The 17,035-nt window shown below is 33.4% G+C and overlaps 1 protein-coding gene across 2 annotated transcripts in view, besides 1 other annotated feature; it reads right to left on the reverse strand.

The window, feature by feature from the left end:
* Positions 1-17,035, reverse strand: part of SEMA3A (semaphorin 3A) — a 536,949-nt gene that overhangs the window by 401,332 nt on the left and 118,582 nt on the right. For both annotated transcript variants that reach the window (XM_005250110.4, XM_047419751.1), the window contains exon 2: positions 14,716-14,792. The gene's annotated coding sequence lies outside the window, so the exon portion shown is untranslated. The remainder of the gene's footprint in view (positions 1-14,715; positions 14,793-17,035) is intronic.
* Positions 14,584-15,783: an enhancer, noted in NCBI's record as "MED14-independent group 3 enhancer chr7:84001008-84002207 (GRCh37/hg19 assembly coordinates)". NCBI's record gives its function as "activates an origin of replication core promoter dependent on BRD2, BRD4, P300/CBP and CDK7 cofactors, and independent of MED14, by STARR-seq in HCT116 cells {active_cell/tissue: HCT116}" and the evidence as "EXISTENCE:reporter gene assay evidence [ECO:0000049][PMID:35650434]".

Below are 17,035 nucleotides of genomic sequence, written 5' to 3' on the forward strand. Positions count from 1 at the left end.
TTTCTATTTTTTCTTTTATATATATATATTTTTTATTATAATTTAAGTTCTAGGGTACATGTGCACAACATGCAGGCTTGTTACATATGTATACATGTGCCATGTTGGTGTGCTGCACCCATTAACTTGTCATTTACATTAGGTATATCTCCTAATGCTATGCCTCCCCGCCCCACCCCCCCTCCACCCACAACAGGCCCTGGCATGTGATGTTCCCATTCCTGTTTCCAAGTGTTCTCATTGTTCAGTTCCCACCTATAAGTGAGAACATGCGGTGTTTGGTTTTCTGTCTTTGCGATAGTTTGCTGAGAATGATGGTTTCCAGCTTCATCCATGTCCCTACAAAGGACATGAACTCATCATTTTTTATGGCTGCATAGTATTCCATTGTGTATATGTGCCACATTTTCTTAATCCAGTCTATCATTGTTGGACATTTGGATTGGTCCCAAGTGTTTGCTATTGTGAATAGTGCCGCAATAAACATATGTGTGCATGTGTCTTTATAGCAGCATGATTTATAATCCTTTGGGTATATACCCAGTAATGGGATGGCTGGGTCAGATAGTATTTCTAGTTCTAGATCCCTGAGGAATCGCCACACTGTCTTCCACAATGGTTGAACTACTTTACAGTCCCACCAACAGTGTAAAAGTGATCGTATTTCTCCACATCCTCTCCAGCACCTGTTGTTTCCTGACTTTTTAATGATCGCCATTTTAACTGGTATGAGATGGTATCTCATTGTGGTTTTGATTTGCATTTCTCTGATGGCCAGGGATGATGAGCATTTTTTCATATGTCTGTTGGCTGCATAAATGTCTTCTTTTGAGAAGTGTCTGTTCATATCCTTCACCCACTTGTTGATGGGGTTGTTTGTTTTCTTCTTGTAAATTTGTTTGAGTTCTTTGTAGATACTGGATATTAGCCCTTTGTCAGATTAGTAGATTGGAAAACTTTTCTCCCATTCTGTAGGTTGCCTGTTCACACTGACGGTAGTTTATTTTGCTATGCAGAAGCTCTTTAGTTTAATTTGATCCCATTTGTCAATTTTGGCTTTTGTTACCATTGCTTTTGGTGCTTTAGACATGAAGTCCTTGCCCATGCCTATGTCCTGAACGGTATTGCCTAGGTTTTCTTCTAGGGTTTTTATGGTTTCAGGTCTAACATTTAAGTCTTTAATCCATCTTGAATTAATTTTTGTATAAGGTGTAAGGAAGGGATCCAGTGTCAGCTTTCTACATATGGCTAGCCAGTTTTCCCAGCACCATTTGTTAAATAGGGAATCCTTTCTCCATTGCTTGTTTTTGTCAGGTTTGTCAAAGATCAGATAGTTGTCAATGTGTGGTATTATTCCTGAGGGCTCCATTCTGTTCCATTGGTCTCTGTCTCTGTTTTGGTACCAGTACCATGCTGTTTTGGTTACTGTAGCCTTGCAGTATAGTTTGAAGTCAGGTAGCATGATGCCTCCAGCTTTGTTCTTTTGGCTTAGGATTGACTTGGCAATGTGGGCTCTTTTTTGGTTCCATATGAACTTTAAAGTAGTTTTTTCCAATTCTCTGAAGGAAGTCATTTGTAGCTTGATGGGGATGGCATTGAATCTATAAATTACCTTGGGCAGTATGACCATTTTCACGATATTGATTCTTCCTATCCATGAGCATGGAATGTTCTTCCATTTGTTTGTATCCTCTTTTATTTTGTTGAACAGTGGTTTGTAGTTCTCCTTGAAGAGGTCCTTCATATCCCTTGTAAGTTGTATTCCTAGGTATTGTATTCTCTTTGAAGCAATTGTGAATGGGAGTTCACTCATGATTTGGCTGTTTGTCTGTTATTGGTGTATAAGAATGCTTGTGATTTTTGCACATTGATCCTGAGACTTTGCTGAAGTTTGCTGAAGCTGCTGAAAGCAGCTTAAGGAGATTTTGGGCTGAGACGATGGGGTTTTCTACATATACAACCATGTCATCTGCAGACAGGGACAATTTGAATTCCTCTTTTCCTAATTGAATACCCTTTATTTCTTTCTCCTGCCTGATTGCCCTGGCCAGAACTTCCAACACTATGTTGAATAGGAGTGGTGAGAGAGGGCATCCCTGTCTTGTGCCAGTTTTCCAAGGGAATGCTTCCAGTTTTTGTCCATTCAGTATGATATTGGCTGTGGGTTTGTCATAAATAGCTCTTATTATTTTGAGATCTGTCCCATCAATACCTAATTTATTGAGAGTTTTTAGCATGAAGGGTTGTTGAATTTTGTCAAAGGCCTTTTCTGCATCTATTGAGATAATCATGTGGTTTTTGTCCTTGGTTCTGTTTATATGCTGGATTATGTTTATTGATTTGCGTATGTTGAACCAGCCTTGCATCCCAGGGATGAAGCCCACTTGATCATGGTGGATAAGCTTTTTGATGTGCTGCTGGATTCGGTTTGCCAGTATTTTATTGAGGATTTCTGCATCGATGTTCATCAGGGATATTGGTCTACAATTCTCTTTTTTGTGGTGTCTCTGCCAGGCTTTGGTATTAGGATCATGCTGGCCTCATAAAATGAGTTAGGGAGGATTCCCTCTTTTTCTATTGATTGGAATAGTTTCAGAAGGAATGGGAGGAGCTCCTCCTTGTACCTCTGGTAGAATTCATCTGTGAATCCATCTGGTTCTGGACATTTTTTGCTTGGTAAGCTATTAATTATTGCCTCAATTTCAGAGCCTGTTATTGGTCTATTCAGAGATTCAACTTCTTTCTGGTTTAGTCTTGGGAGGGTGTATGTGTCGAGGAATTTATCCATTTCTTCTAGATTTTCTAGTTTATTTGCGTAGAGGTGTTTGTAGTATTCTCTGATGGTAGTTTGTATTTCTGTGGGATCGGCGGTGATATCCCCTTTATCATTTTTTATTGTGTCTATTTGATTCTTCTCTCTTTTCTTCTTTATTAGTCTTGCTAGTGGTCTATCAATTTTGTTGATCTTTTCAAAAAACCAGCTCCTGGTTTCATTGATTTTTTGAAGGGTTTTTTGTGTCTCTATCTCCTTCAGCTCTGCTCTGATCTTAGTTATTTTCTGCCTTCTGCTAGCTTTTGAATGTGTTTGCTCTTGCTTCTCTAGTTCTTTTAATTGTGATGTTAGGGTGTCAATTTTAGATCATTCCTGCTTTCTCTTGTGGGCATTTAGTGCTATAAATTTCCCTCTACATACACACTGCTTTAAATGTGTCCCAGAGATTCTGCTATGTTGTGTCTCTGTTCTCGTTGGTTTCAAAGAACATCTTTATTTCGGCCTTCATTTCGTTATGTACCCAGTAGTCATTCAGCAGCAGGTGTTTAGTTTCCGTGTAGTTGAGCAGTTTTGAGTGAGTTTCTTAATCCTGAGTTCTAGTTTGATTGCAATGTGGTCTGAGAGACAGTTAGTTAAACTAATTTCTAAACAGACAAACAAAATCCTTGCTTTGCTAGATCTGGAAGGTGTTACATTTAAGCAGATTATAGTTTTAAAACTATTAGCACATTTTTTACTTACCCAAAGCCTTGTAGCATGTCAAGACGAGTGTAGTATACAATCTATTATACAAGATGCTGCTAATGTGCAGAGTATTCTTAAATTAGCTCAGTGTCAAAGGGGAATAGAGTAAACCATACATTTTGGCCAGCTATCCCTACTAACAGCAATTGTTTAAAACCTACATTTTTTATTTATTTTTTATTTTTTTTGAGAGTGTCTCGCTGTGTCACCCAGGCTGGAGTGCAGTGGCATGATCTTGGCTCACTGCAACCTCTGCCATGCCAGGTTCAAATGCAAAGTCTACAAATTTAAACAACACTCTACAAATCTACTTTCAGGAATTAAAATTTAACTTAAAATTTAAAATATACAGGTAAAAATGTTATTTTAAAAACTATGTTATCAAGAATTCAAAATTAGTTTAATATTCAATTTTCCATTTTTTTCTGTTGAATACTTGAAAATGTTTTACAGCTTCAAATGCTTACTATAAATTTTATTGTGAGAGATAAGATTTTAACAGACTTCATTGACTTTGGGAAAAATAAGCTAGTTTTCACAACTTCCAGAAGGGAACAATGGCTGAGTTTCACTGGAGATTCTGATCCAAAGACGAGAGAGACAAACCAGGAACATGTTCTCATGAAGTGCTGAGAATGTTTCTAAGAAGTACAGCTAATAAACTTCAATAAATTTTAAGATTTGTAAGACTTATATTGAATGGAAGAAATGATGCAAAATAGAAACCAGTTATTATAATATTCCTGAACAAGGGAAAGAAATAAATAAAGGAAAAATAAGAAAACTGAAATAAAAATGGAAAACGGAAAGCTATTGCAAGGTAGAGGAAATTCTACTACTCAGCTATGGAGCAATGTTTATAATGCAAATAAATATATCTATCCTTATCGAACATGGGAGTTAGATTTTCTAAATATAAAGCAATATTCTATTGAAAGAAAATGGATAGATGGACACCATTAGGGAGAACGAGTAATATAAAATAAGAGTCAAGGGAAGACTCCTAATTACTAATGATACCCTAATTACAATGAATCTTATGACATAGACAAGGAACTTAAGCCTTCTGGAAAAGTACATTGAACTAGGGGAATTTTAAAAAGTCTATTGCTAATTCATATAAATACTAATGACATAATTAAAAGGGTCAGAGAAGCATCTTTATGGGTAGGCCAGGGAAGTTAACTGAAGGACTCTGCAGAGGAGACGGTGTCCTTCATTTTCATTACTTCCTGTGTAAAGGATCCGAGAAGAGAGAACTGCAGGGTGAACTCGGCTCTAGGCTCTCTCTTATTCTATTTCTATGATAGTTTTTTGAATTCTTGAAAACAGATTATAGCTTTCAGTTGTTTTTCTTTGGTTTTTAAAATTACTCTAAGTATAGATATTAATGTTGCTCATATAGTTTTGTATGGTATATTTAGTGGTTAAGAAAGAGAGGTCTGAAAACAATCTCTCTAAGATAAACAGTCTTCCTTCATGACTAAATAATTGGATGACCTTGGCCAGTCGTGGTGGCTCACAACTGTTGTAAACTTGAGAACAGGAGTTTAAGACCAACCTGGGCAATGTACTGAGAACCCCATGCTAAATAAATAAATAAATAAATAACCTTGAATAAATTCTTAATTTCTCCCAGATTCAGTTACCATATTTATAAAATAGCAAAAATAACAGTAACAACATCACAGTGGTGTTGAGATAACTAAAGGCAATAATTCTCAATTTCAACCATACAATAAATGTTCAACGATTGTTAATTTTATTATCATTATTCAGGGTTTTTATAGTTTCATCGTCAATATTGGAAGACATTTTTGGAAACTTGTTCTAAAAACATCAGAGAGATTCAGCACACTTTTTGCTAGAGTTGAATAACAATGAATGACGGTGAGCAAAGGCAAATATGTCACTGTAAAATCATTATTGTACTTTGTAATCTTATCCTTCAATTATGGCTTCTTGTAAAACTTTACAACTTTAAGTTTGATATGGTTCAGAACATATGAAATCCCTTTCTATATTTATAGTAGAATAACTATTGTTAACTATTTGTGTTTACATAATTACATGGAACTCCAGGATTTTTACTGATAATTTTATGGTAACATCCATTTTCTAATGTTAAGGATGTATGTAAGAGTATGGGAAGGCAGAATAAAGATAAAAATGTAATTCAAATAATAAACACAAAGTAATTGTCATAATATATAGGACTATGGGCTACTCCACAGTAGGACTGAGTAGACTCTATCTAGAGCCCTGCTCTATGTCTGCAAAAAGCAGTGCTCATTCATTGATCCAAGTTTGGAAATATGCTACAGATCTAATGGATGAAGAAAAAATGGGGAATTTACAAAGTAAACAGCAGTATGGGAGTATATTACTGTACAACTAGCTAGAGCAGGAAATAGATGATATGCCCTGATCCAGATCACCATCCTGCCTCAGAAGCTAAAGTAGCAAGGGAAGAGTTAGTTTACGGACATCTGCTGAAATTCTCTTTCAGCAAAATCACATCATCTGACAAATTCCTGACACACCTTATTTAAAATTCTATGCATCAAAGATAAAGGAAATGAATTATTTGGAGAACAGCTATTCTGGACCTAATTCCAAACCAACAAAGAACTGATTCATTAAGTGAGAGAAATAGAAATCCTGAGAGAAAACAGTTCAGTGATCTAAAGTTTCATGACAGTTCAGGAGATAGAGACTAGATTGTCACTGCTTTTTCACTCTCGGACATTCGAAAATATATACCCAGGTGCCTTTGCCTTAAAGGCAAGTGCTGATTATTTTTGGTGCATGTTCTTTCAATTTTTCACCCCAGTTCTTTAAAAACAAAAGTTTTAACAGCTTTCTTTAGATCTATATCTATCTATAAAATATCTATACAGATTTAATTGACCTAAGATTTTTAATTTTGTATTTTTTGCCTTCAATTTTATAACACAAACATGTTTCCACTTAATTATGTGGAATTGGCCTATTGTGAATGGCTTCAGTACAATAAACTTTATGGTTTAGACAAATTGTGATTGTAACTTTCACAACTATTCTGCTCCTCTTCTATAGCAGCTGTGCTCTTTTTGTGATATTGTTATCAATTCCAGCTCCCTGTATAGTCCTGATTGGTCTAGGCCAATCTTTCTCATAGTGTGATCTAGGGAACTCTAAGCTTCCTTAAGAACTTTTCAGGGGCTCTGCAAGGTCAACATTACTTTTAAAATAATATTAGGATATAAGCTGTTTCTTCCCCTTTCATTCTCTTGTGAGTGTACTGTGCAGTTTTCCAGAGGCTACAGATGAGTGCCATCACCACAGATTGAAAGCAGATGCAGGTATGAGAACCCATCTATTTAGCCAGATGTTATGGAGATGTTCAAAAATAATGAAACAATGGTACTTGCTCACTAATTCATTTTGTTTTGAAAATATATCTTCATTAACATATGTATTGGTTAACATATGATTTATTATAGTTGTTAAATGACATAATAAATATATATTATAAAATATCTGTTTTAATTTCCAGTACAGTAAATACTGATAAACATAAACAAAACCTTTTAGGAACCTCAGTGATTTTTTAAGAATGTAACTAGATTCTGAAATCAATAAGTTTCATATACTGACATAATCCTTAGTCATATTCCCTTAAAACATTCCCTGAAAACACCTTGTACATTGGCCTTAAAGAAACAAAATACAGAGACACAAATATATAAAACGATTTTTTCAAATAAAACTTTTAATTGTGTTATTAAGTATTTACTTCTTAATTCAATTTCATCATTCAAGCTTAGAAATCCATCACCCTTTTGGATTACAGCTGTATTTATTTATTTTTTTAGAATTTAAAAAATCATTTGAATTTTTACATTTAATTATTTCAGCCACAAAAAGTATATTGTTATATTGCACAATAAACTAAATATTTATTACCCAGAATGTATTTTGTTATGTGACATGGGAACCTAAGCATTTATTGTACTTCCAAATAGCAAAAAACAATTTTCTACTTGCATTACCATGCTGTCACTTTATTTCAATTAATTATAGATTAGAGGCAAAATTTATTTTATAAGAAAAGGGGAAAAGTAACCAAAAGTAACATTTGGAACTAAAAGAAGTTAGTAAATTCAGAATAAACTGTGCAGGTCAGGCAGGCCCTGAGGCCGTAGAGAGACTGAGGAGTGAGAGAAAAAAGAACAAGAGAAAAAAAAAAAAAGAGGTGGAACTGTAGAATTGTTTGCATTCTTGTAACCTCAAGAATGAGAGCAGTTAAAAACACAGAATGCATCTGACCAAATAAAGGTACAATTCTTGATCAAAGCTGCATGGTGCATTAACTCTATTCCCAGCTGTCCAGCAATAGGACCCTGCCTTACCATTACCTTGTGGTTATGGCACTACAAAGGGAATAAAAAAAAATATGACAATTAAATAATAATAATTAGGAATAGTAATATAGGAGATAAAGTCAATTCAATCCTGTAGGGAGAATTGAGGGGTGTTTGGGTGGGGTTTATGCCACAGGAAAATAAATGATGTTGTGACAAGGAGAAATAGTTACAAAAGTCTACGTGCCAGAGAGAACATTATCTTACCCAGTTTACTCAAGTACTCATGTTTGGAAAGAACTATCATATATATTAAAAGTTTGGAACCAATAAAAGATGTTCTTTTGGTGCCTTTATGGTTCAGAATAGTCTAGGTATAAGTGCTTTGTTTGAGCTCTCTCTCTGCATTTATTTTATAATGCCCACTCTATACTTGAAATAGAGGCTGAAAGTGTATTACTTGTTCAGTGTCACAGAGCTCATAGGTATTGAATGCAGGATTCAAACCCTCATCTCTCTTTGTCTCCAAAATTAATTCTCTAAATGAGTTCTTCACTTTTGCGAAGACTTCTTTCTCAAAGTAAATATGACTGTATCTCATACTGTATTATTATTATTTTTTCCACTGATCTGCTTGTTTAAACTGGTAACCACATTTTTAATATGCTGACTTCTAGTTATTTATTATTCATCATATTAACACTTTTATATTCTTACTTTTTTTTGCTGCAACAACTTCAAAATCACTCTGATGTTAGTCTTAAGTGAATTTTTATGTTTAACATATTTCTATTTACAACCAAATCTAGACACAATCTGATATTGAGAACTGCATGAATATCACAAGATAATTATTCTAAGAGATTGTGAATAGATAACTCATCTACAATAAATAACATGAGTTTAACTAATATTTAAATATTTTATCTTAAGTTAAATTATAACATTTAAATTATATCATAATTTACATTTGAGTAATTATAACATGGTTATGAAAACATAAACTAAAAAAAGTGGAGACACTACTTTTTAACTAAATGATTTAAATATCACATTTGTCAATAAGGAAAAACAAAGGCATTTGTACTACCTCTGAAAAGCTTTCATTAAACCTGTCACAGACAGACACATTATTATTTTTATAAAAGACTCTTGACCTGTCTATATGTCAAAGACCTCCTTCTCCATTAATTTTTTTACTTCACTTTACCCCCTCTGATTTAATTTTATGTTAGCCAACATAGTACACTTGCTTCAGAAATGAAAACTTACAACATCATATATTTACTGTGAACCTAGTAGTAGGTTCCACAGACCTGAAGTAGGCCCACGAAATACATTTTCAACTAAAGCAGAAATATATCATCCCATTATAAAGGTGACAGTATAATGGAGAAACTTAAGCATCAAACAAATAATTACAATTGTAATAAGTGGTACAGTAATATAATATTAAAATTATAAATGATGATGACATGATCAGTATTCATTTACTAAAACAGTAAATTACTCCTTTTTATCAATCTGCTATAATCAAGTTTCTAAGCAAACCACTGTAGTGGAAAATGGATTCTTGCTAACTAATTCTCACTTCATCCTCTGTGATTCCGTGCTACACTAAAGCATACTACAACCATACTTTACACTCAATCAAGGAAGAACATGGAACACATACTCTTTCTGCCTTAATAGGTGAGCACTCCAAGGCAGAATTACTTAAGTCTCCCCAAGAGATTCACTTGGTTCATCCATAAACAACAACTGAGAAAAGGCCTTTCTGTGCAACAAAAATCCACATGTCATTTTCTGAGGTGTTTTAAAGTGATAGGCATACTAGTGGTAAATTGCTATTCCAACACTAACCATATAAAAAAGATATTCAAATCTAGCTACTTGGTTATGCAGGATTTTTTTTCTTGTGCTCTCACTTGATTCTATAGGCAGATATCTGAGAGTTTGTTCCAGCAATTCAATGTTCTAAAGAATTTGCATACACTAAAATGCCTTTAATCTTAAAAAAAAAAAACCTTAATTTTTGAATAAATTGAGGTGCAGAGAATTTAACCAACATGTTCAGGGGCTTGACCATTTATATATGACATATGTCTCTGAATCTGATTCATAGACAGTTCAATTAATGTCCTCAAGTAAGGGTCAGCAAGGCCCCTCTAGGAATTGGGGCTAGAGTAGAAGTAAGAAAGACATTTTCTAATAAAAAATAAACGTATAGGTGAGATGTGGAATTACCAATTATGAATGTATGTCCACAATGTAGTTTAATTACTTAATTTTTCATCTTAAAGAAAGAGGCAAACAAATGCTACTTGATTTAATTCAGGTTATATGCCATTGCCTTAAAAGGAAGTATTATTAAAGTAGGCCAGTGGATCCTCAAAAATAATCTACATAATTTGTTTATGTCTTTAAGAATCCTAAATATATTTAAAGAGCTAATGTATGTGCATAATTAAAATACCGCTTCTTAAGAAAAAAATCGCCAAACAATAGTTTTGCCAAATATTTCTCTTGATATTCAAATGACAGATTTGCCACAGATGATCAGAAAAGATGGTGATCTAGTATAGCTCCACACAGCTCTTCCAGTTACTTCAGAGAAAGAAGACTGGATGTGAGTTGAGGCTTAACAAGAGCCTAAGATTTTGATAGGACTTGCAGAGAGAAAACATTTCAGACAGGAATAATGGAATGAAAAAGGCAGATAGGTGAGAAAGCAAGACTTGCATTTGGAATAATGAGTAGACCTATATATATAGGTAGAGGCAGATCCGGTTGAAGATAAAGATGGAAATGAAACTATGAAAAAAATCTCAAAAAGTAAGCTAAAGAAACTGCATTGAATTCTTTGGAGTGTCAAAAAATTTCCCTTAGTCAAATCTACAATTCTGTTTATCTAAAAGAATCTTGAAGAAATCTTAGCTTTATAAAATATTGTACCTTCTGATGGACACATTCAGTAAATACATAATAATTTTATAAATATTCTATGCTAATTACTAAATATAGAAACATCACAAAAGTAGAAGTAATGCTTTCAAGGATGTTGTAACTTGAGTATATAAGTGAGCACAATGTAATGTTATAGGTGCTATAGAAATTAAATTTATAACATAAAATATTTAAGCTCACTTATAGATAACCCATGGTATTTCTAAAAATAGGTTATAAGCTTCAAAAATTCTATTTTTCTTTACAACTTTAAAAATGGTCTGCAGATTCATTCACCATAATGTTAGTAAATCTTGCTTAACAAAACAGTGAGCTTCTGAAAAGAACTCAGTTTTTTTTATGAAATTTAATCCTTTATTTTGTATGCAATCCAGTAGAAAGTGACCCGCATGTCACAACCACTTATGGATATAAATCATTGTCATCTTTGATGAGTTGTAATTAAAAACATGTTATTTATCTTTGTAATGAGGTTTACAAGGATAAAGATAATTTTAAAAGCAAGGTAGTTATTTTATGCATCACTTAAAAATTATATCAGTAGGTCAGAATTTTGGTTTGGCTTTATAGTTTTATGTTATTGTTTTAATGTACTGTATAATGTATTTATACAGTACAAATATAGTATATACATATAAACATACTGGCCATATAATGACCAAAGTAAGATAAATTTAAAGCAAAAGATGAACAAAAATAAGCATCTTACCTAAATGACTAATAGTTTCTAACAATTATTATTATAATTAACATATAAAATGCATGTTAATTCTATATAAGTAATATATACAATTTATCTCACCTTGATTATTATATAGCAAGTGTGTATGTATACAGATACACATATACAATATATAGACACACATATTCACTATATATATCTAGCATAAATATATACACAAAAACACATATATAGGCTATATAATAACAAGTGTAAGATAAAGTTATATATAACTTGTATACATTTGTGTATGCATAAGTCACTGGATTTTATATCAATCATGAATCTTCAGTATAGATTTTCCATCAAATATATATCCAGCCCAAAAACTGCAGATCTCACTAGATCACAATGTTAATTCATCTCATTGGGAATTAGTATATTGATGTTTTCACTGGAAACAATAAACTCATGTTGCCAAAACTGAATCCCAGTGGAAATCAAAAATATAGAGATGGACAGATAAAATACACAAATCTATATCTGGAGTCCAGGCAAAACTTCAAACCAACTTAGAGCCAGACATTTTATGAATTTGGGATGTCTGGAATCTTTCTTATAAATATGTATTTTAATATCCTGTGTTCTGTATGGACTTATCCCTAATACACCAAAGTGCATTATTATCTTTCTTTGGAACCAAGCAGAAGAATCATTTTTAGTCATTCCAAAGTTAATAATGAGCTGTTGAAAGTGACTTTTGGAATTCAACGTACTTTTTTTTCCATCAGTTTTGTAACTTCAAGTGACAAGAACAAAGGCGATACTGTTTATCACCATTTCATAAATAGAAACTGAAATGTAGCTTGTTTAAGAGAGTTGCCATGAAGTGACAGACTTGGTACGAAAGAAGAATCTAGTCTTCAGATGATTATATTGAACAGTCTTTTTAAGAAATATATTCAACCCCCAAATTCTGCAGACCAGGAAAGACAACACATTCCTAACCTAGTTGTTTGTAAATGTTAATTCATTTATTCAAAATAGATTAGTTGAGCATCTAGTATATTTCAGGTGAAAATCTAGGTACTGTTTATAAAATGGTGAACAAAACAAAGACTCACAGGTATGCCATTTTAGAAAGAGGTGACAGGTATTAAATATATATTTATATATATAATAAAAATAACATCACATTGTATTAGTAATTAGTAAATTAATATTTTTATATGAATGAAAATTAGTAATATAAATATTACTAATTTTCTTTCAGATCATGGTGAGATAATTATCAACTGAGATGATTCAGAAATGCAGCTAGGTAGAGGCTGGACCTGTTATTTAAAGGACATATAAGCTTTTGTCAAGATGGAAAGTCATACCAAATAGGAAAGGAAGCTGCAAAAACAAAGGTAAGGATGTAGACTGCTTTTGGAATTGTGGATTGAATGAATAGGTTAACCTGATTGAAGCGCAACATTTTAATGGGCATAAGTAGGAGAAAACCTTAAAGAGGTAGAATGGGACCAGATTCTTGAGAACTTGGAATAGCAATCTTAGGAACTAGTAACTTATTCTGCAGGCAAAGGAAGCAATTGCTGGTTTTGAGTATAGGCATAAACTGATAAAAGAAGTTGTGTTTAAGAATTTATAGGGATTTAATGTGATAATATATGTGAGTCACAATCCATAAACTTTGTTTCCACACTGCACCACGCATGTTTCATAGCTCCAGAGCCTCATTAGAGAATGAGCAATGTGTGTACACATAGGCCAATACCTTATATTTTAGCATAAGTTTCCTTCCAGATTTATATAGTTTAGCAGACACCTCTTAAGATAAAATATAAAATATCTATGGAAATCATGAATAATTTATAATTTCGTGTAAAAGTTAGATTTGATAGGCCTCAAATACAATTAAAAAGAAAAGGTTAGAAACATCTTGGTTGCTCTGTTGAATTCCCACTTTAACCATGTGCCAATTCTAGTTTTTCTTATTGTCTCAAAGCCATGCCAATTTATAAATATTTACCTTTTCAAGGCATTACATTTAATACACATTATTTTGTTTAGACCTCAAATATACCTTTATAATGTATATTTTTATTCTCATTTTATAGGGAAGGAAATAAAATTCATAGGGATGAAGTTGTAAGATGTAAAGTTTCTTTAGGGACAAAAATAAGGAGACATACAATGGTAATTACATAAACCACAAGTTAATATAGCATGTTCTAAGGCAGAAAAAAAGATTCTCAGTTCCCCTAAGTTTTTCCATGCTAACAACAGCTATGGATGAAACTACTAATTCATTTATTTGAAATAGATTAGTTGAGTATCTAGTATACCATATAGAACATATAACCATATAGAACATGAGAATGGATGATGGAGGGAGAGGGAGGAGGTAAATAGGTAGGTATATAGATAGGTAATATGTATATCTACCCTATCTAACATATATACATGGATGTACATTCATATAGGTTAGAAGCACTGGGTCACATCAGTAGTTATTGACAGAAACTCCTTCCAGTAATATTAGGTTTGTGCAAATAGATTTACATTGTTTTTTTATTATCTTGTTCCTTCAGAAACTTTTTACAGAATCAGATATGCCTTTCTGTACCAGCACGTTGATGTTTACTAGTGAACAACATATAACATGGCTCAGAGACTTTAATTTATGTCATATAGTATGGGGGAAGTAGACAGTTGAGGAATTTAAGACAATAAAATTGGAACAGTAATCATAATAACATTTAGAATTGGCAATTATCTTTAGTTTCCACCCAGATGCAGAATACTTGAGTTTTTTAGAAAGTAATTTTCTAACACAAAATTTTGAATTTTTATGTAAATTTGGAAAAGCATTTAGGTCTTAATTGTTCAGACTATAGCATCAACTCATAATTAAGATATAAGAAAATAAAATATTAAATCATGGAACATAATTATATCCATCTCATTACTTATATCAAGACAAGCCCTATATCTCATAGAAGTTGAGAAACAATATTATAATATATATTTGAATTTGAAAAAATCAATAAACACCTGATTGGATTTTTCACTTTGCTTTTAGGTTGTTATTTTGAAGACATTGGCTTTAAGAATATAAAGATGTTAATCTCCTTAAAACTTTTTCGGTTCCACTTAAAGTCAAACACCAAGCAAAGAGTCATATGCCTTTTAAAGATGAAGGGTTTCCTCACACTTACCTGCTAAAGGGCCTCTTCTTGATGAATAATTCCCTTTGTTATGTTAGACTGTCCCATGGATGGTTTTTTTAAATATTCTGGAAAGCAAAGCAAACAAATAATTTATAAAGTTTGAACTTTGACGCAAACTTGAACCTTCTTAGTAAACTGGTTTAATAAACAAAAAAGCACACTTCTGTCCTATTGCCAGCAGACTCTTCCATGACACCTTGGAAACATTACTGATCCTGTCTCTCAGGCATCGTTAACCTCTTTGTTCTCTCATCACTAGGCACTCAGAGCACTATTATCTCCCTCACTTCTTCCCAAATTGGATTCTCAGAGATTATTTCCACTATTTGTGTGTGTAAATTTGGCTCATGTCTTCTCACCCTCTGTTTAGCTGCCTTATCTTTTTAGACAAAATCTGTTCGCCCTCTTAACTGCTTTGGACATTTCCGGCTATCTTCTTTCACACTCTGGGGCTGTGACTCCCTCCTTTAATTTCCGGTTAACTCACTGTGAGTGAGTATTAGTCAACTTAGCATCTGGTTACAGAGCAACCAAGCTATTTTTCTTACAATTATCCTCAAATGCTCTTAAACTTAAAGGCTTAGTGTTTTGGCACAAGTTGAATAGGAATTCTGGATTCTACAGTTATCATGCTTATGTGACAGAGCAACCTCAGATTTGGAGGCCATGGCAAGAGGTTGAGTGGGTGGATACAATGGTGACTAGTTTAATGAGTCACTCATTGAGAGTTTTAGTGCTGAAAACTGCATTCAGAGAAACACACAAGTGGTTCTTAAAGGACATAGGCAAAATCATTTCATAGGTAGAAATCACCTGACCTGAAATTAAAACATCTGCAGCATGCCCTCTCTGTCTCAGGAAATCAAAAAACTTCATAGTACCCCGTGACCAAATAATTAAAAATATAGGTTAGTTTTTAAGTTTAGAACCAGAATATCTTTTCAAGTAAAAACTCAGTTGCTTTGGTGCTAGCTTGTATTACTGGCACTACTTCTCACTTCCGTCTTATCTCCATGCTTTTTGCCATATGAGTTTGCCACTCTTCCCTCAAAGGGGAACAGCATATTTCCCCACTCTGGCTATGAATTTCATCATGAGACTTGCTTTTGCAAATAGGATGATGTAAAAGTGACAACATGCCAGCTCCAAAAGCTGAGTCCTCAAGATATGTTGTATGTTTCCATTCGCTCTCTTGTCCTTTTGCCGTCACCATAAAATGTACATACCTGGGCTAACCCACTGGTTTCAAAAGAATGATGAAAAATACATGGAATGGAGAAGCCCTTGCTAAGTTGCCCCAGCCAAGCCCAGACTAAATAAGTGTCCCCAGTCAACCTGTAGAAACTAGAGTGAGCTCACACATCGGATAACTCCAGTGGACCAAGCTGATGGTTTCTTTAAGGCCACCAACTTTCCTGTAGTTTGGTATTCCATAATAGCTCTTCAATACATGTTGAATAGAATCATTTTTGAAATAAGCACAGAAATCAGTCATCTACAACCTTGCCCAAATTCCTACTTCATCAGCGTTACATGGACATATTTTCAACTAGGCATCTCTTAGGAAATGTCCGCAGTCATTATTAACAAAAAGCAAATAGGGTCAGTAACTTTTTATTATGGACTAAAATAACAGATATTTTCTGAAATAATATGAGATCAGCCTGACTTACCCCAAAGTAAATTTATATTTTTGATCACACAGTAATTTATGAATAAAAGTAATTTATAAAATCATGCCTTTGAAACGTTGGCAAAGCTCTAAATTTGTTCCTGAATTTCCAAATGCAGACAGTACATCATGGTGGTTAAGAATAGAATTGCAATAATACAACCAAGGATATAAGCCCAAATGTGCTACATATATTTATCCTTGGAAAATAACTAAGATTTTCTGAGCTTCAGATTTTTATTGCAGAGGAAGTTAATAATAATAACATTCAATTTTCATATAATGCATACATAGTACTTTGTCTAGTGTCTGGAAAATAAAAGTGAGTACTAACATTTTCCAAGAAAGTTTAAGTTACATTCATTAACATTAGTATTTACTATTTTGTATTATATTTTTTAACAAGTAGTTGTTGAAAATATGGCATGAGATGAGTTTGGCTTTAGGTGACAAGAAGATTAGCAAGGAAGTCCTCAAGTTTGAAGAAAGGGCCCAGCTAAAAGAGTCATTGAAAAAGCATGGTCAACAAGGCCTGGTCATGAGATCACGGGAGAGGAATGGATTTCAGGCAGCATCTCATGGGCAGAAGCCCAGAGGAGAAAACAATGTAAATAGAGAATGAAACTCATGCAAACT

This window comes from Homo sapiens, chromosome 7 (assembly GCF_000001405.40).
Source record: "Homo sapiens chromosome 7, GRCh38.p14 Primary Assembly".
NCBI classification, from domain to species: Eukaryota; Metazoa; Chordata; class Mammalia; order Primates; family Hominidae; genus Homo; species Homo sapiens.